The 19,962-nt window shown below is 41.6% G+C and overlaps 1 protein-coding gene across 21 annotated transcripts in view; it reads right to left on the bottom strand.

The window, feature by feature from the left end:
* MTMR1 (myotubularin related protein 1) overlaps positions 1-19,962 on the bottom strand; it is a 72,147-nt gene that overhangs the window by 21,620 nt on the left and 30,565 nt on the right. For 18 of the 21 annotated variants that reach the window (NR_148676.3, XR_007068204.1, NM_001353992.1 and 15 more), the window contains 8 exons: positions 16,180-16,274; positions 15,698-15,805; positions 13,279-13,380; positions 12,881-12,964; positions 11,870-12,019; positions 10,759-10,947; positions 6,709-6,894; positions 6,041-6,247 (listed from right to left, as the gene is read on the bottom strand). Coding sequence is in view for 19 of the 21 variants with exons in the window: in NM_001353992.1 (NP_001340921.1) it covers positions 6,041-6,247; positions 6,709-6,894; positions 10,759-10,947; positions 11,870-12,019; positions 12,881-12,964; positions 13,279-13,380; positions 15,698-15,805; positions 16,180-16,274 (1,121 nt within the window). In the remaining 2 variants the exon portion in view is untranslated. Of the gene's footprint in view, positions 1-6,040; positions 6,248-6,708; positions 6,895-7,787; positions 8,026-10,758; positions 10,948-11,869; positions 12,020-12,880; positions 12,965-13,278; positions 13,381-15,697; positions 15,806-16,179; positions 16,275-19,962 lie in introns of those variants that run through there. The other 3 variants (XM_011531210.3, XM_017029924.2, NM_001306145.2) reach the window with 1 other exon arrangement.

The raw sequence follows: 19,962 nt of genomic DNA, 5'->3' as shown, positions 1-19,962 counted from the left end.
CTTCTTTATAAAAAAAATTTTAATTGTGGTGAAATACACATGACATATAATTTATCACTTGAACCATTATTTTTATTTTTATTTTTTAGAGACAGGGCCTCGCTCTGTCACCCAGGCTGGAGTGCAGTGACACGAGCATAGCCTGCTGCAGCCTCTAACTCCTGGGCTCAAGTGATTCTCCCACCTCAAACTCCAGAGTGGCTGGGACTATAGGTGTGAGCCATCATGCTCAGCTAATTCTTTATTTTGTAGAGATGGGGTCTCACTATACTGCCCAGGCTGGTCTTGAACCCCTGACCTCAAGAGATCCTCCCACCTCAGCCTCCCAAAGTGCTGGGAATTACAAGCATGAACCACTACATCCAATCTCATCTTAACCATTTTTAAGTGTCCAGTTCAGTGGCATCAAGCACACTCATGTTATTATGCAACCATCACCATTTCTAGAACTTGTTAATCTTTCCAAACAGAAACTCTATACCCATTAATCACTAACTCCCCATTCCCCACCTCCTAGCCCCTGGCAATGACCATTTCACTTTTTGTCCCTATGAATTTGATTATTCTAGTTTCTTCATATAAGTGGAAACATAAATATTTGTCCTTTTGTGGCTAGCTTATTTTGCTGAGCATGATTTCTTTCTTTCTTTCTTTTTTTTTTTTTTTTTTTTTGAGATGGAGTCTCACTCTGTCGCCCAGGCTGGAGTGCAGTGACGCAATCTCGGCTCACTGCAAGCTCTGCCTCCCAGGTTCACACCATTCTCCTGCCTCAGCCTCCCGAGTAGCTGGGACTACAGGTGCCCGCCACCACGCCTGGCTAATTTTTTTGTATTTTTAGTAGAGACGGGGTTTCACCGTGTTAGCCAAGATGGTCTCGATCTCCTGACCTCGTGATCCGCCCGCCTCGGCCTCCCAAAGTGCTGGGATTACAGGCGTGAGCCACCGCGCCTGGCCTGCTGAGCATGTTTTCAAGGTTCATCCATGTTATAGCACATGCCAGAATTTCCCTTTTTAAGACTAACATTGCACTGTATGTTAGTCTTACAGTGCCACTTAACTGTGCCACATAACGACGTTTCAGTCAATGATGACTGCATATCCAATGGTGGTCCCATAAGGCTATAATACCATATTTTTACTGTACCTTTTCTACGTTTAGATACAGAAATACTTACCATGGTATTACAGTTGCCTACGGTATTCAGTATAGTCACATGCCACACAGGTTTGTAGCCTAGGAGTAATAGGCTGTACCATATAGCCTAGATGTTAGCAGGTTATCCATCTAGGTTTCTGTAAGGTACATTCTATGATGTCCACACAATTACAAAATCACCTAATGATGCATTTCTCAGAATGTATCCTCATCATCACACACCACATGACTGTATATATAGACCACATTTTGTTTTTCCATTCGTCTGCTGATGGACACTGGGGTTGCTTCCACCTTTGGGCTATTGTGAATAAAGCTACTATGGACACCAATGTACAAATATCTGTTTGGGCCCCTGCTTTCCCTTCTTTGGGGTATATACCCATCAGCGGAATTGTCAGATCATGTGGTAGTTCCACGTTTAATTTTCTGAGTATCCGCCATTCTGTTCTCCATAGTAGCTCCATGCATTGCCCCACTATAAAATCTCTTGTAGGACCTGCTGTTCAGTATTTAAGGCACCTAGGGAACTGTTTTACACTGACAGTTCACAATTTAGGATCATTCTTTCAACAGATAGCCATGGAACTCCTATGGCGTGTGCAAGGCATCATGCCTGGCCCTCGGAATGTCAGACATTGTCATGGTGTCTGGTAGAGGCCCGGTCCTTGGCTAGGCCCCTAGGAGACCAGAGCAAATGAGACACTGTACTTGTGCTTGATGAATAATTCATTTGTGGTCTAGTCAAGGGACAAAGATGTATAAATCACAAGGGCAATAAAGTGTTCCAAGGGCTTCCAAGTATGCAGTGGGTATGGTGGGAGCACAAGGGAATGAGTGAACCATCCTAGGATGGGGTAGGGGAAGGAACAGGGAGGGACAGTCATGTGAGTCATAGTCATAAAGGACATTTCATTTGAGATAAACCTTGAAGGACAGGGAGATGCCTGCTTCCCAGGTAGCCAGGAATTGATAACCAGTGGCAATGTGGTGGGGAACACTAAGGAAGCCACAAGTAGCTGGGCACAGCTGAGGCTTAGACGGGGCAAGGGAAAGAAGATGAGAGGTGAGGCTGGAGATGTAGCTAGGGCCAGATCACCAAGGGCTTTGAGTGCACACTGAGGAGTTTGTTCATAAACCTGTGTGCTACAGGAAGGTGCTGAGGGACTCACACTGTGGAGTGGCAGCATCCAATCTGTTGTTTGGAATGCTCCATCTGGCTCCAATGGGGACGATGGATTAGACAGAGCTAGGTTGCAGAAAGGCTACTGCTATTGTTGGGATGTTTGTCCTCCTAAACCTCGTGTTGAAATTTGATCCCCAATGTTGGAGGTGGAGCCTAATGGGAGGTGTTGGGTCATGGGGGTGGATCCCTCATAAATAAATTAATCCCTCCTTGGATGGGGGAGTGTGTGAGTGAGTTCTCTATTAGTTCCCGAGACAGCTGGTTGTTACAAAGGGCCTGGCACCCTCTCCCCTCTCTCTTGCTTCCTCTCTCACCATGTGATCTCTACACACTGGCTCCCCTTTACCTTCCACCATGAGTGGAAGCAGCCTGAGGCCCTCACCAGAAGCAGATGCCGGCACCATGCTTCTTGTACAGCCTGCAGAATCGTGAGCCAAATAAATTTCTTTTCTTTCTAAATTACCCAGCCTCAGGTATTCCATTGTAAAAACACAAACAGACTAGGACAGCCACCTAGGAGACTGCCTAAGGGGGTTGATAAGGCCTGAGTTACAGGAGCATCAGGGGCAATGGAGATGAGATCACAGATTCGCTATCCATATATTCAAAGTTATGGGACTGGCTGAGATCACTAACAGGTTAACCACAAAGAGAAGAAAAATGATCCAAGGACTCATCCCTGGAACACCCCAACATTAAGAGGTTGGGAAGATGAGGGAAGACCTGAAAGTTGGAGGAAATTCAAAAGGTCAAAGAAACCTAGAAGCCGAATGAAGAAAGTGTTTGGAAGAAAGGAAGAATCAACAGCATCGAATGCTCAGGCCAAATAAAACAAGTGATGACGGTGACACGACCAGATTGTGGGGGGGCGGGCATTGTGAGAAGGAACCCTGGCTGAAGTGCTTTCAAGACAGTCTGGAAGGAGAGAAATAGTGATAGTGAGTACAGACAACAGTTTTGAGGACATTGTTGTAAAGAAGAGCAGAGAATCAGGGTGACAGCTGAGGAGGGCTGTGGGGTCAAGAGGGTTTTTGTTTTAGGATATAACAGAATGTCTCCACACCAATGGGAATGATCTAGGGAAGAGGGGGGAATGGAGGCAGGATAAAGGGAAGAACAATTGGAAAGTTCCATGATGGAGGCAAGCAGGCAAGGGCAGGATCAGCCTCAGCTGGAAGCCCTGATGGCTCAATCACAGAACTCCAGGTAAAGTAGAGTACACAGATCCAGAGGGTGGGTGGTTGCAGGCTTGAAATCACTGTTTAAAGGCTGGCTCCACCCTAACTAGCTGTGTGACTTTAGGCAGATAACACACACTCTTGAAACCTCAATTTCCCCATCTGTGAATGAGAGTACTATCAGGATTAAACAAGATGCTGCACATTAACAGTGCCAAACACATAGTGGTGGCTTAGTAAATTGAGGCCATTAGGAATCTGATAGTCCTATTGGCTTCACTGTGGCCATGGTGCAGTGAGCCCCAGGATTAGCAAGTAGGGATGGGAGCAGGGCGCTGTAGGCACACCCTGATGCATGTACCTCTGCTCAGTCCCAGTACATGCTGCCATCGCTGGCACCTCGCTAGACAGCCTTCACCACTACCCCTCTGGCAAAGCACCCATTCAAGCTTTCTCTCCCCTAGGACATACAGTTTGGGGAGGAAGGTAGAAGGCAGTGGCCTCTGAGTCTTCTGAGGTGGCCCAAACATCTGGAAAGATTCCACACACTCTCTCTTCCTTACCGAGACCAGCCTTTGCTGAGGGGGTAAGAAACAAAGGAATTGGTGATGTTGTTTAAAACTTCCCTGGCACTTAGCATGGGCCAAACACTGCCCTAAACATTTGACACATATAAACTCATTTCTCCCACACAATGCCCCCATTTCAGAGAGGAGGGAATCAAGGCAAGAGAGGGGAAGGCACATGCCCAGGGATCTGCCAGTAGCTCCCAAAGGGCATGCAGCTCAGAGACTGCGGACTTGTCCCTTCTCTCTGGGAGGTCCTCTTGCAGGCGCTCCACCCCAGGAGTGCAGGGACAGCTGGAAGCTTGGCACACTCACACCAAAGCCAATGAAATCCTTGCACTACCCATCTTCCTGCTTTCCATAGCAAGTCTAATGGGGACTTCAGGAGTATTCCCATTCAATGCACAGTTCAGAAAGATCCCTAACAGCTCAATGGCCTAGACAGACCAGAAGTAGCTGCCAGTTGGACTAAAACACAAATGGCAGCCCAAGAATGCCCCATCAGATGACCTCACAATTTCACTCCTAGGTATATAACCCCCTAGATTGTAAGCAAGTTGTTATAGGGTGACTTGTGATCCCCAAAATTGAGGCCTGAACATTCGGTAGCTCAGCAATGTGTCCATATTTGGAGATGGGGCCTTTAAAGAGGTGATGAAGTTCAAATGAGGGCATTGAAGTCAGCCCTAAGCCAATCTCACTGGTATCCTTATGAGATGAGGACATTTGGCCACCCAGAGAGACAGCAGGGGTGTCCAGTAGCTCCCAAAGGGAAGAAAGACCTTGTGAAGAGGTAGCCAGAGGGTGGCCATATGCAAGGAAAGAAGGGAGACCTCAAGAGAAATCAATCCTGCTGGGACCCTGATTTTGGACTTCCAGCCTCCAGAATTATGAGAAAATTAATTTCTGTTGTTTCAACCATGCAGTCTGTGGTACCTTGTTATGGCAAAAACTTATATACTAACATTCACGCAGTATTCTTCACAATAGCAAAGGTGGGAACAATCCAAGCATCCATCAGCAGATGAGCAGATAAACAACATGTGGTATATACACACAAGGGAATACTATTCAGCTATAAAAAATCATGAAAATTTGATATTTGTCACAACATGGATGAACCTTGAAAATATTATGCTTAGTGAAGTAACTCAGTCATGGGAGGACAAATACTGTAGGATTCCACTTATATGAAGTACCTAGAAAAGGCAAATGTATATGAAGACAGAAATATTAGTGGTTGTCAGGGGCTGGGGGAAGTGAGGAATGACTGTTTAATGTGTACAGCATTTCCTTTTGAGGTGAAGAGTACGGTTTTTGTTTTGTTTTGTTTTTTGAGACGGAGTTTTGCTCTGTTGCCCAGGCTGGAGTGCAGTGGCATGACCTCGGCTCACTGCAACCTCTGCCTCCCAGGTTCAAGCAATTATCCTGCCTCAGCCTACTCAGTAGCTGGGACTACAGGCGCCCGCTAACACATCTGGCTAATTTTTGTATTTTTAGTAGAGACGGGGTTTCACCATGTTGGCCAGGCTGGTCTCGAACTCCTGACCTCAGGTGATCTGCCTGTCTGGGCCTCCCAAAGAGCTGGGATTACAGGCCTGAGCCACCGCGCCTGGCCAGAGTATGTTTTCAAACTAGAGGTGATGGTTACATAATACTGTGAATTTACTAAAGGACACCGAATTGAGCATTTTAAATGGTTAATTCTATGTTATATGAATTTTACCTCAATTTTTTAAAAAGGCATAAATACACTAAAATAAAAACGCCCTATGAGGAACATACAATGCCTGAGGTCCATGTATTTTATTATGGCAATTCAGGTCTGATATGATACAGAAGAGAAAGCCTGCACGTGTGTGTGTATATATGCGCTTACGTGTGTCACACATGACGTTTACATCCATATGATACCGCAAAACAGTCCAGCATAAACCTCACTGTCTGAACTTACCAGTGCAAACCTGTGTCCAAAGCTTATCCACTCCTTTTCTACGAGAGTTTCAAATCCTTTAATGGTCCTGTAGTAACTGTCCAACATTAGCATAGCCAGAGATGTGAGCTGGGCTGTTCGGTCCCAACCGTCGCTGCAATGCACCACCACAGATGTTTTCCCAGATTCTATTTTATCAGCAATTCTTACTGCCCCAGCAAGCAGCATCTTCAGAAAAAAAAGGCACATTAGACCAGGCTACATTGAATTTCAATTAAATGTAAAACAATGTAAAATAATTCTGGGGAGAGCTTTGGAAGTTCTGGTCAATAAACCAAGCAAGAATGGCAGGCAATCAGCTGAGAATCACTAGGAAATATTAGCATCACATTAAAAAAATAAAAAGAAAAGAAAAAATCTTATACTGGAGAAAAACTACAGGAGTAAATATGGTTCCTTATTAAAGGGCCACGAAGTTCTTTAAAAGCCTGACCTAAGGCAAGCATTTTTCCCTTTTCACTATGTCACAAAAGCCCTCCACAAAGACCCCAGTCTGATGCTGTCCATGGAAACTATTGAATAAGAAAGTTCATGCACACAGCCAAGAGGCACTTGGAGATATACGTATTTATGGCACAGGCACAAAGAAGTCTTAACTGGAAAGCATATAAAGTGCTGGATCTCTTTACCCTTATATATTCCAGCCAATGCGTCCCATCCACATTGGAGAGCCACCGCGCCTCATCGATCGAAGGGTACACAATCTCTTTTAATTTGCGTAGTGACTCTCGCATGACATGAATGTTGTGGATCTCCAAGAACACAAGTTCTGCATTTGGGTAAGCACTTTCACTTTCATATCCTCCACCCTTTGTCTACGAAAAACAAAACAAATACATCACATTATCTGGAATTAACTTTTCTATTCTTTCTAGTGCTATGAGATACAGACCACTAAAGAAGCAACAAACTCATCTGCAAATAAACCTCCTATATCCTTGTATGAGTTTCCTAGGGCTGCTGGAAAAAGAACCACAAACTCAGTGGCTTAAAACAACAGAAGTTTATTCTCTCCTAGTTCTGGAGGCTGGAAGTCTGAATTCAAGGTATCGGCAGTGCCATGCTTCCTCCGAACACTCTAGGGGAGGATCCTTCCTTGGCTGCCCCAGGTTCCGATAGTCCCAGGTGTTCTTGGCTTATACACACATCATTCTGATCTCTGCCTCCATTTCCACCTGACCTTCTTTCCTTTGTCTGTGTCTGTCTCTTCTCCTCTTCTTCTAAGGACACAGTCATTTGGCTTAACCCCCACCCCCCAATTCAATATGACCACATCCTAACTTAATTACATTTACAAAGACCCTATTGTGAAATAAGGCCACATTTATAGGTACTTGGAGTTAGGACTGCAACATATCTCTGAGCTAACAGTGGGATGTGCTTAAGGAACTGAAAAGAACCTCACATAGCTGAGACATGGACCTGGAAGATGTGGCGAGACAGGAAGGAAAGGACCCGTGGGTGGAGGGCTTTGGAGACCCTGTTCAGGAACCTGGATATCACTGCCTTGCGGCTCTGAGGGATGTGCACAGAGTTGTCCACTGAGAAGATCACTCTGTACAACATGGTGACTACAGTCAATAACAATGTAGTCTGTATCTGAAAACTGCTGAGAGTAGATTTTAAGTGTTCTCACCACAAAAAATGGTGTGTTAATTAGCTTGATTTAGCCATTCCACAATGTGTACACAATCAAAATACCACGTTGTACACCATAAATATATACAATTCATTTATCAATTGAAATAGTAACAATAAGTTTTTTTTAAAAAAGAAGATCACTCTGGTCATAATGTGGAGATGAGATTGCAGGGTGTGAGGCAGAAGTCCAATTTCAAGGTTCCTGCTGTAGGTGAGGTAAGAGATGATGGGTCATCCAAAAACTAGAAGAGGAGGGCATACTTCCTAGTTCATTCCATGAGGCTAGCTGTATCCTGATACCAAAGCTAGACAAAGACATCACAAGAAGAGAAAACCACAGATTAACATCCCTTATGAAAATACATGCAAATATCCTCAACAAAATACTAGCAAACCCAATCCAAGAGTATATGAAGGGGACTGATCACATACCATGAACGGGTGGGATTTATCCCAGGAATGTAAGGAGGTTTTATTAGCTTCCTAAGGGTGCTATCACAAACTGGGGGACTTAAAACAACATAAAATTTATTCTCTCACAGTTCTGGAGGCTGAAAGTCCGAGATCAGGGTGCTGGCAGAGTTGGTTCCTTTAGGAGGGTATAGGGAAGAATCTGTTCCATGTCTCTCTCTTAGCTTCTGGTGGTTGCTGGAAGTCCTTGGCACTCCTCAGCTTCTAGCTGCATCATTTAAATCTCTGCCTCTATTGCCACATCGCCATCTTCCTTCTGTGTGTGCCTGTGTCTCTACATGGCTTTCTTATACGGACACTAGGCACTGGATTTAGGGCCAACCCTACTCCAAGATGGCTTCATCATAATTAATACATCTGCAAAGATCCTATTTCTAAATAAGGTCACATTCTGAGGTTCCAGTTGGACAAACTTTTGGGAGACATTTTTCAATCCACGACAGTGGTTCAACATATAAAAATCAACCAATGCAATACCAATGCAAGAAGAAGATATGAAAGGCAGCCAGATTGTAAAGGAAGAAGTCACATTATCTCGACTTGCATATGACATAATCTTATATATAAAGAACCAGTGGAGACCTAGAAAATACTGTTTCCTAGACACATATACTGCCATAGTTAAAATTATTCTAGATATACAATTTAGTGTCCTGTCTCTATCTCTCCTGCATGGGATAAAACACAATGAACTGCCCTCACCCTGTTGGCTAGTCTGAAGATGGCCTCCACCAATATGGCTTTTCTCACATTTTGTAATTCCTTGGGATATGGTGGTGACAGGTGGGAGGCAGAGATGTAGAAAGACTGACACAGCTAATGATCCAGATGTGGGGAGCAAGGGGGCCTCACTGAGGGATGCCTCCCTATGGTAGGCTGAAAAGTGGCCCCGCCAAAGACATCCACATCGAATCCCTGGCAATGGTGAATGTGACCTTATTTGAAGAGAAGGTCTTTGCAGATGTTTAAGGATCCTGAGATTTGCAGATGTGTTTAAGGATTCCAAGATTAATTGAAAAGAGGGTCTTTGCAGATGTGTTTAAGGATCCAGGATTATTTCAGGTGGAACCTAAATGTCATCACAAGTGTCATTAGAAGAGAAAGGAGGAGACGCAGAAACCCAGAGCAAGAGAGGGTCATGTGATGACGGAAGAAGAGATTGGAGTGATGTGGCTGCAAGCCCAGGAAGGCTGGGGCAGCCACCCCATGCTGGAAGAGGCAAGGAACAGATTCTCCCCTTGAACCTTTAGAGGGAGCAGAATTGGCCTCCAGAATTGTGATCAATACATTTCTGGTGCTGTAAGCCAACAAATTGGTAGTAATTTGTATGACAGCCTCAGAAAACTAATACTTCCCCATCTTCCTCCCTGCCCTGTTCCTCTCCCAGTCTTCCCCATCTCAGTAACAGACACCACTATTCACCCTCAAGTCAGACACCTGGGCAACACCCTTGACCACAGGGGTGGCGAGCTTATCAGCATCATGTACTGTGCCCTGAGGATGCACTCACCACTGTGCTAAGTCATTTACATGCATTCTTCTCACTGAATTTTAATCCTCACACAACCCATGACATGAGACACTGATATTATCTCCTGTTTTACAGAAGAGGAACCTGAGGCACAGAGAGAGGTTAAGTAACCGGCTCAGGATTCTAGAGCACCAAGTGGCAGAACCTGGAGGAAAACCCAGGTGTAACTGATTCCAAAGCCAAGGGGTCTCACCAACTTGCCATCGTGCCTCTCAGGCCAGTTGGAATATACGGAGGGTTTGTGGTCTGGGAAACAGCCAAGCAGAGATGTCAACCATACAATGGGATAGAAATCCAGTCTCAACCTTAGGAGGGATCAGGACAGGAGAGAAACTGCAGTGTCAAGCTCAAGTTGAACTCAGCATACAGACAGTGTTTAAAGCCGTGTCATCAGAGATGGCCCCAGGAGTCTGTGTAGAGCAAAGAGGACCCCAGACCAAGTTCGAGGAGCAATGCCATTTGAAGACTGGGAAGAGAAATCAGTGAAGGAGATGGAGAAGGCCAGGCTGAAGAGCGAGAGAAACTCAGGGTGTGATATCATGAAAGTCATGGGAACGGAGGTGTTTTTAACCATGTCTCACTGCCACCCGAGGTACACTACACAGGTGCTCCATGAGATTTATGGAAACTTTGTACATTTACACATTTCACATGGCTGATTCCATTCTAAAAGAAATTCAGACCAGACATGAATTAATCAACTAACCACTATATTCCTTAAACGGACTTCCAAGGACCTCACGATCATTTCATTAAAATGCTAAATCCTTTAGATGATAATTGTCTTTCTAGGTCTTTACTTAATTGATTTAGCAGACAGGATATTGTAGAGAAGCAATGAAACAGACAAGATCCCAACCCATGTGAGACACCAAACACAGCCCAAGGAGCATACACCAGGGAGGAATAGCTATGGGACTCCAAATGATTCTAACTTCAGGTGGTGAGGAAATCAATGAGTTATTCCAACTGCATAATGATTTACAGACAGGACATGAAAATATCCAGTGTTTCTGCAGTGCTATTAAGAATATACCTTGTTGGTATCAGCGACACTGTTTTGTCGAGCATCAAAGATGATAAGCTTGTGTGACTGTGCGTTAGCATCCATTATTGTTTGCAAGTATTTTTCATCCTCTTTGCAGCGCTTATCATTGGGACCCACAAGTGGCTGGCTGCAACGGGTAATCGTTGCTTGACTTTCCGGATGAATCCATGACAACACCTAGTGTTTTTAAGCAATAAATATTAGTACAGTTCCTAAAGAATGTATGCTCTAATTACCTGGTAGGAAAAACAAGTTCCCTTCTCAAGCACGGTCTCTTATACATATTTTCTTCAAAAGTGAGAGTGGGCAGGCCAATCACAGCATTGTAGTGGCCATCAGACTCAATGTTTTGGTCAGGATGAAACAATTCTGACTACATGAGCTCTAAAAATCCCCTTCCATCCCCAATATTCTATGATTCTAAGAAAAACAAATCCTAAATCAAACTATTACTAAAATCTAGCCCCATTCCAATTTGATTGACTAATTTTACCTTGTCTCCTAATTTTAAAAACATCTTTGTATCTCAACAATAATATACGTGGCAGGGTAAGGACAAAGTGAATATACAGTCTCTTATAAAATCTGACACTCTGCCACCCCACCTCTCATTTTCCTCCAGTGGCCAAGTGACTCAGGATTACAACAGATGCAAACTCTGGGCTCAAACCATTACTCCCAGCTGTCTGCTACTACTTCTGTAATGATGTCCCTCCCACGCAGCTATGGCATCATGCTCAGTATCTAAGAAAGAAGCATTTTCTCTAGGATGATTCAGTGAAACCAGCAATGCCAACTGGTAATACAATAGCATGATAACTTGTTGTTGCTACTCCTTTGTCATTCTCTACTACTTTTTGAGGGTATGACTGAAGTTCCCCTTATACTTAGTTATAGGAAATCGTAAAAGAGGGAGTCATAGCAAACAGATTGTTTATATAATTAGGTATTTGTTGAGAATCAAAGGTATGTTCAGGTTTATAAGCTTATTTTTCTGCTTTCCATTTTTGTTCACTAGTTTCTTTTTTGTCTTAAATCTCTCCATATTAGATCTAACGCAATATATATTCCTATATAAATGACAATGTTTATTACTTACAGGGACTCTGCCTTTTGCTCGAAAAGCTGCCACTTTTGAAAGGTCATCATCTTTTACACTAGTTGGCACAACAATGATGGCAGGGTAGGTGTCACAGAACTCATAATTACTGTTTATTTTGGATATTTTCCAACTCTCATTTGGCAAGCCCTGTAAGGTGTTGGAGAAAGAAGAAGAGGGTGAAATGCATGACTTTACACTTTGAAAAAGTACTAAGCATGAAGTACATCCATTTCTTATTTGCAACTAAAATCCGTTTATAATTTATTGTTTATTGTAACTTAAAAGTCAATATATATATTTATTCGGTAAAACCCATTTCCTAGACATTTCTAAAAATCTAAAGAAGCATAAGAATATCCAAACCATACTAAAACATGAAAATTATACGCTAGAATCACATTTCTATATATTTCTTGTCCTATTTTCTATAAATAATGAGCTCTGTTATTTTTGAGAATATACTCAAAAGTCCTTTAGAAACACAGATACCTCTTACGAATGTCTAAAATAAGTAACGTAAAACATTATACCAAATATAAGGTAGAGACAACGTCATGAAACAAACGTCATGAAAATAAGATCTTAGTGGAATAATTTGAAGCTGACAATGCACTGAAGAGTTCCCAGACCCGGGAACACTGGATCAGACAGATGTAGTCACACCACATGCTTCGAATCTAACTGTAGTCAGTGGTTTGGATCCTTACTCATCAATTCTTTACCAGAACATCTAATAAAAACCATCTGGCAAATTTGGTTTTTAAACCCGTCCTTGTCCTTGAGTCCCACTCACCCTCTGGAAACAGGATGAACAAACATGACAAAGTCTAAGGTTTGGCACAGGGAGAAGAGAGAATCAAGGAAAGATGGAGAACCTATAAGCTAGCAGTTAAACCTGTGCATAACTTGTTCGAAAAAGTTTCTTCTCCACCACATCATTTCTAACCTTTTAGAAGAGAAAAAGATGCTCAACCTATTATTTTCAGTTTGATAAGCAATATACTTTACCTGTCTCTTATATTCAGATACTGGATCATAAACTTTCCAGCCATTAATTGGAAATTTTTCTTTATAGCTGAATGCAAATAGTGCCTGGACACAAAAACCACAAAACACATATGTTACTATTTCTTTTTATATCATATACCCAATATTAAAGCTTTTCATTCTAATATGAGCTGAGTGTATTAAGATTCCTATTTTAGTCTGTAAATTTTACAGCAACAAAGTAGCAGCTTTTCTTAAGCATTACCCAGAACTGACAAATTTCAAATATTCTAATATTAGTCACCAACAGAGGAAAAAAGAGAGGAAAAAAAAAAACCTCTGGAAAAAGGAATAATTAAACATAGGATATTTGGACCCCCACAAATGCATGCAGAAAAGGTTTACTCTGGTGTATTTACCTGTCCGTTAGAAAGAGGAAATGCATGTTTGTTGAGGTTTTCAAATATCCCTAGTTTACTCTGTTCTTCCTGTTTATAAGCAAGCCGCAAGTTCCTCATATCCTGTTAAACAATTAGCAAAACTCGGTTATTCAACATACATCAGGCACCTATAAGCCAGATACCGTGCCATAAATAAGGAAATTATTTTTTTTTAATTCATTTCTCCTTTTATACTTTATCCTGCTCCAACGGCACAGTCTCCACTCATTGCAACCTCCGCCTCCCTGGTTCAAGCAATTCTCCTGCCTCAGCCTCCCGAGTAGCTGGGATTACAGGCACCCACCACCACTACCGGCTAATTTTTGCATTTTTAGTAGAGACAAGGTTTCACTATGTTGGTCAGGCTGGTCTCAAACTCCTGACCTCACGTAATCCAACTGCCTCGGCCTTCCAAAGTGCTGGGATTACAGGCATGAGCCACTGCGCCTGGCCCCACTTATGTTTTCAAAGAAGGACTATACATACATTCTCATGTGCATAGGCTATCTGTGGAGGGTTACATTAGAAATCGGCCACAGTGGGTGCCTGAAATGAGTGGAACAGGGTGGCAGGGTGGTGGGTGGAAGGAGACTGATTTTTTACTATACACAGCTTTTGTATCTTTTGAATTGTATATCACCTGTTAAAAAATAAACCCCACACCTTGTAAAGCTCTTAGGCATGATCTGAGAAGGCTGGGAGCATTACCTTAGTAATCTAGGTTAGAGAACATTTAAAGCAGTTGTTAGCAAATGCTCACCCCAGCCATAAAAATATCTTAGTAAAAGAGCCCCAGGATGCCTGCCTAAGCAACATAATTTCCTGACATGCCCTCCCTCTAAGCTACATGGCTACACACATACACCTTGGTGGCTGACTGAGCTGACTTGCTATTTAAGATTGCTTACAAGCTAAGGAAAGAGCACATGCAAAGATTCTGGGATGTGTGTGTGTGTGTGTGTGTGTGTGTGGGTGGGTGTGTCAAGTATGAACCACCAAAGGAAAGCCCATGTGACTGGGATGGCCAGAATGAGAGGAGGGCAGTTCGAGACCAAGCTGCAGAGGAAAGTGGGTCAGGCAGAGCAGTCTTGTAAGGAGAGTTTTTCTTTTAGTCTAAGGATAATGGGAAGATACTCAAGCGTCATGAGAAAGGGGACGACATGTTTCAAAATTGCAGAACCGATCAAGTCACCCCTCTGCTTGCCATTGTTCCATATGGGGAACCCTGCCTGAGAAGGACAGTTGTCAGGGAGTGACTAAAGTGAGTTTAGTAAGCCAACAGATTCATGATCTGGAAGAGTAAAGGGTTCTTTGGAAAAAAAAAAAATGGTTTTGAACGCAGTCTAGGACCAACCAGAGGGAGCTATCTTCAGAGATTGAATCAAAATAAATAGATTGTAAGGAATCCTAACCCAAAATTTGGAAGGGGCGCTGATGATCCTGCAGGCAGGATCTCTTTTCTGGTACTTCAGGTAGGGTTTTTGGTAAACATTACCAAAGTCAAGTCACTGGGAATAAAATACATCAATTAGGAGTGGGTCCTACATGACTTCGTGATTAAAGTTATCACACACATTTCTACTTAAATTATTAGAAGAAGGGTACAAAATAAACAAATAAGCCCAGCTCAACATAAAAATTCCAAGATAGCCAAGAAACTTAATCTCATTTTTAATCACAGAATTTATGGGCCACTGCTGTCCCTTTAGGAAGTCTCTGACCATCCACATTGTTCTGAACGTAGTCTTAAAACAACAAACTGGGGAAATGTATTGGTCTCTGCTTTTCACTTGACTTCTCTGAGATGTGACAAACAATCACTTAGGTTATAGGTCCACGTTAATTAGAAATACAGTCAGCCCTTCCTATCCATGGGTTCCACATTGGAGGATTCGAACAACTGCAGATGGAAAATATTTTTTAAAAGGATGGTTGCATTTGTGCTGAACATGCACAGACATTTTTTCTTGTCATTATTCCCTAAACAATACAGTATAACAACTATTTACATAGTGTTTACACTGTATTAGTTATTATAAGCAATATACAGATGATTTAAAGTATATGGGAGAATGTTCTTAGGTTATATGCAAATACTACATCATTTGACATAAAGGACTTGGACATCCATGGATTTGGGTATCTGAGGCAGAGGTCCTGGAATCAATCCCCCACCGATACCAAGGGACAATTGGACTTCGATGGAAAAGGTTTACTTCAAAGGGTTACATAATAGTTTAAATTCGATATGAGATTTGAAGAGGTTGCTATCCCGAAAACATTTGAGTTACTAGCAGTACAAATTATTCTACTGTCCAAAGACCATGAAGAGACTGAGGGAGAAAAAGTTCAGAGCTGATTGCCCTCTTTTAGTTTTCACTTGGCGTTTCTATTATACCTTGCACACTATCTCTATACCACAGGAATTGTCTCCATGGCTCTGTGCTCCAATCTTCTCCACTCTGCTGATCACTCCAAGGGGAACATCAAGGATAAAATGCGGGTCCTAGGTTCAAAAATTAAGATCAATGCCTATTAGTGTCAGTCAACAGTTTTCATATTTTAAGTCTTTGCTGGGTTACAAAACATGTTTGTTTACTTCGCATTTCCTCTTTGTCCCAGCTAAATTGAAGTCTGATTGACAGCATTCCTTGTGAAATATATATTGAGACAACAATGGAATTTCCCCTCCAGGTTTAAGCGGTACTTTAACAGCCTTTGTTTTCAAGATACAAACATCTGTTTGCAAATGTGTGCATCTCAAAATCCAACCTGTGGTTATCTCAGGGTAATGGGATTTCAGGGGACTTTTTACTTTCTTCTTTTAGTGTTCTTTTAAAAGTGTTTCTTTTAAAATAAAACACACTTTAAAAAACTCACCCTCTCGACATTTTTGAAGTACAGCTTAAAGTCCGTCACTGTCAGGGTTCCACTCACTGCTCCCATAAATGGGCAGATATACATGACATCTTTCACTGAAAGAAAAAGGCCAAAGTAGCAACTACTGCCATAGACTTGTGCTTCCATAAAACTTAACACGAGTTTTCCAAATATATATTTGTGATTCCAGTTTTCCAGGAATTTTGTATTTTATAGGATTATATCAATTATGACTTTCAATATAGAGAGATGCATAGTCTTCTAATAAATTTCAATTTTTTAAAACAAAATTCTGATTTGCTACTTAATGAGGTTTTAAGTAAAGGGCCTCATAAGAAGTTATATTCTGTCATTTTTCCTAGGTAGTTAACATTTTCCCTGGGTGATAAATTAATCATATTCAAAACATTAATTAAACTCTGAAAACCCTGGGCTACTGTTTCATGAATTACTGCTACTTAAAACTAATGAAAACTAAAGATTGTCTCCTAATGCATCTCCAAAGGAAACTCTTTTTACAGAAGACAAAACCTAGAACCACATCAATGAAATGGAAAAAGACTTATTTCAAATTCCTTATCCCCTTATCAGTTTTAATTTTTTGTCAATATCTATTAAGTGCGTGACATATTTAATTCCCATTAGTGTTAAGAAGCTCACTTCTATCACAAAGATACCACATCTTCATGTTTTCCCAAAGTGCCATTCCACTGGAATGACAAGAATATACATAGCTATATATGAGTCCAAGTGAGACAACAAAAGGCATTAACGTCATTGAACCAAATTCTCAGAATACTTCCATTGAACTTTTCTATACTCCTTATGTACTGAGAGCCTTCTATTGCTGGGATTCTGGGTATAATTGGAAGAAGTTCCTGTCCATGAGCAGCCCATGACCTGTGAGAGATACCACACAGAAAAATCGCCATTATACTAGAGCAGAGGTCCCCAACCTTTTCGGCACCAGGGACTGGTTTCATGGAAGACAACTGTTCCATGGACCAGGGCAGAGGTAGGGGGATGGTTTCAGGATGAAACTGTTTCACCTCAGATTATCAGGCATTAGACCCTCATAAGGAACATACAACCTAGATTCCTCACATGCGCAATTCACAACAGGGTTCACGCTCCTGTGAGAATCTAATGCCACCGCTGATCCGACAGGAGACGGAGCTCAGGCGATAATGCTCACTAGCCCGCTGCTCACCTCCTGCTGTGCAGCCCCGTTCCTAACAGGCCATGGACCAGTGCTGATCCACGGCCCATGGGTTGGGGATCCCTGCACTAGAGGTTGACAAAAGCTAAAATAACAATGTGGACACAAAGTATTACAATGGAAGTTCAGAAAAGGATCAACTTAACTCAATAGGAAAGTGGGTAGGGGGAGTAAGAGAAGGAAGGGAGGAAGGGCACAGTGATAAGTTGTTAGAGGTTAGTATGCCTGGATCAATGGGTGCAGTGAGGACAGTCGAATATGAGGCCAGAGAAGTTGGCAGGGAGTGGATTGGCAAGTGCTTCTGTAGGAGACTAAGGCATTATTATCATTATCCTTAAAAGATAACTGTTTAAACAAAAACAAAAACAATATATTGTGGGGTTTATAACATATGTAAAAGTAAAATGGATGACAACAACAGCATAAAGGGTAGGAGGGGACAAATGGGAGTATACTACTATAAGGTTCTTATCCTGTACATGAAGCAGCATACAATCATTTGAAGGTAGACATAAAGATGTAAAATAACTAGTTACATAACAAAACAAACAATTATAGCTAATATGCAATCACAGGACATAAAATAGAATTCTAAAAAGTAAAAACCCCATAGTCTCGACCCAAAAGCTCCTTCAGCTGATAAACAACTTTGATAAAGTTTCAGGATACAAAATCAGCATACAAAAATCACTAGCATTCCTATACACTAACAACAGCCAGGCCAACAGCCAAATCAGGAATGCAATCCCATTCACAATAGCCACAAAAAGAATAAAATACCTAGGAATATGGCTACCCAGGGAGGTGAAAGATCTGTACAATGAGAATTACAAAATACTGCTCGAAGAAATTAGAGATGACATAAACAAATGGAAACACATTCCATGCTCATGGATAGGAACAATCAATATCGTGAAAATGGCCATACTGCCCAAAGCAATTTATAGATTCAATGCCATTCCTATCAAACTACCAATGACATTCCCAGAACTAGAAAAAAACTATTTAAAAATTCATATGGAACCAAAAAGAATAGCCAAGGCAATCCTAAGCAAAAAGAACAAAGCTGGAGGCATCATGTTACCAGACTTCAAACTATACTACAGGCCCACAGTAACCAAAACAGCATGGTACTGGTACAAAAACAGACACACATAGACAAGTGGAACAGAATAGAGCGCCCAGAAATAAGGGTGCACACCTACAACCCTCTGATCTTCAACAAAAGCAAGCAATAGGGAAAGAATTCCTTATTCAACAAATGGTGCTGGGATAATTAGCTAGCTATATGCAGATGACTGAAACTGGATCCCTTCCTTACACCATATACAAAAATCAATTCAAGATGGATTAGAGACCTAAATGTATAACCCAAATCTGTAAAAACCCTGGAAGACAACCTAGGCAGTACCATTCTGGACATAGGAACTGGCAAAGATTTCATGATAAAGATGCCAAAAGCAATCACAATAAAAGCAAAAGTTGACAAATGGAATCTAATGAAACTAAAGAGCTTCCGCACAGCAAAAGAAACTATCAACAAAGTAAACAGCCTACAGAATGGGAGAAAATATTTGCAAACTATGCATCTGACAAAGGTCTAATATCCAGCATCTATAAGGAATTTAACAAATTTACAAGAAAAAACACAAACAACCCCATTAAAAAGTGGGCAAAGGACAAGAATAGATACTTTTCAAAAGAAGACATACATGCAGCCAATAAGCATATGAAAAAAAAGCTCAGTATCACTGAACATTAGAGAAATGAAAATCAAAACCACAATGAGATACCATCTCACACCAATCAGAATGGCTATTATCATATTAAAAAGTAAAAAAAAAAAATAAGAGATGATGAGGTTGCAGAGAAAAGGGAATGCTTACACACTGTTGGTAGGAGTGTAAATTAGTTCAACCGTTGTGGAAAGCAGTGTGGTGATTCCTCAAGGAGCTAAAAATAGAACTACCATTTGACCCAGCAATCCCATTACTAGGTATATGCCCAAAGGAATATAAATTATTCTACCATAAAGACACACTCACGTGTATGTCTGCTGCAGCACTATTCACAATAGCAAAGTCATGGAATCAATCTAAATGCCCATCAATGCCAGATTGGATAAATAAAATATGGTATATATACACCACGGAATTTTGCAGCCATAAAAAAGGACGAGATCATGTCCTCTGCAGGAACATGGATAGAGCTGGAGGCCATCATCCTTAGCAAACTAACACAGGAACAGAAAACCAAATACTGTAGGTTCTCACTTATAAGTGGGAGCTAAATGATGAGAACACAGACACAGACGCAAAGAAGGGAACAACAGACATTGGGGCCTACTTGAAGGTGAAGGTTGGGAGGAGGGAGAGGATCAGAAAAAATATCTACTAGGTTCTAGGCCTAGTATCTGGGTAATAAAATAATCTGTACAACAAATTACCATGACACAAGTTTACCTATATGCACATGTACCTAAAATAGGGCCATCAGAGAAATGCAAATCAAAACCACAATGAGATACCATCTCACACCAGTTAGAATGGCAATCATTAAAAAGT

The sequence above is a fragment of the Homo sapiens genome, chromosome X (genome assembly GCF_000001405.40).
Source record: "Homo sapiens chromosome X, GRCh38.p14 Primary Assembly".
Taxonomy (NCBI): Eukaryota; Metazoa; Chordata; class Mammalia; order Primates; family Hominidae; genus Homo; species Homo sapiens.
Note: the sequence above shows the minus strand (reverse complement) of the source record. Positions and strands in the feature narration are given on the sequence as shown.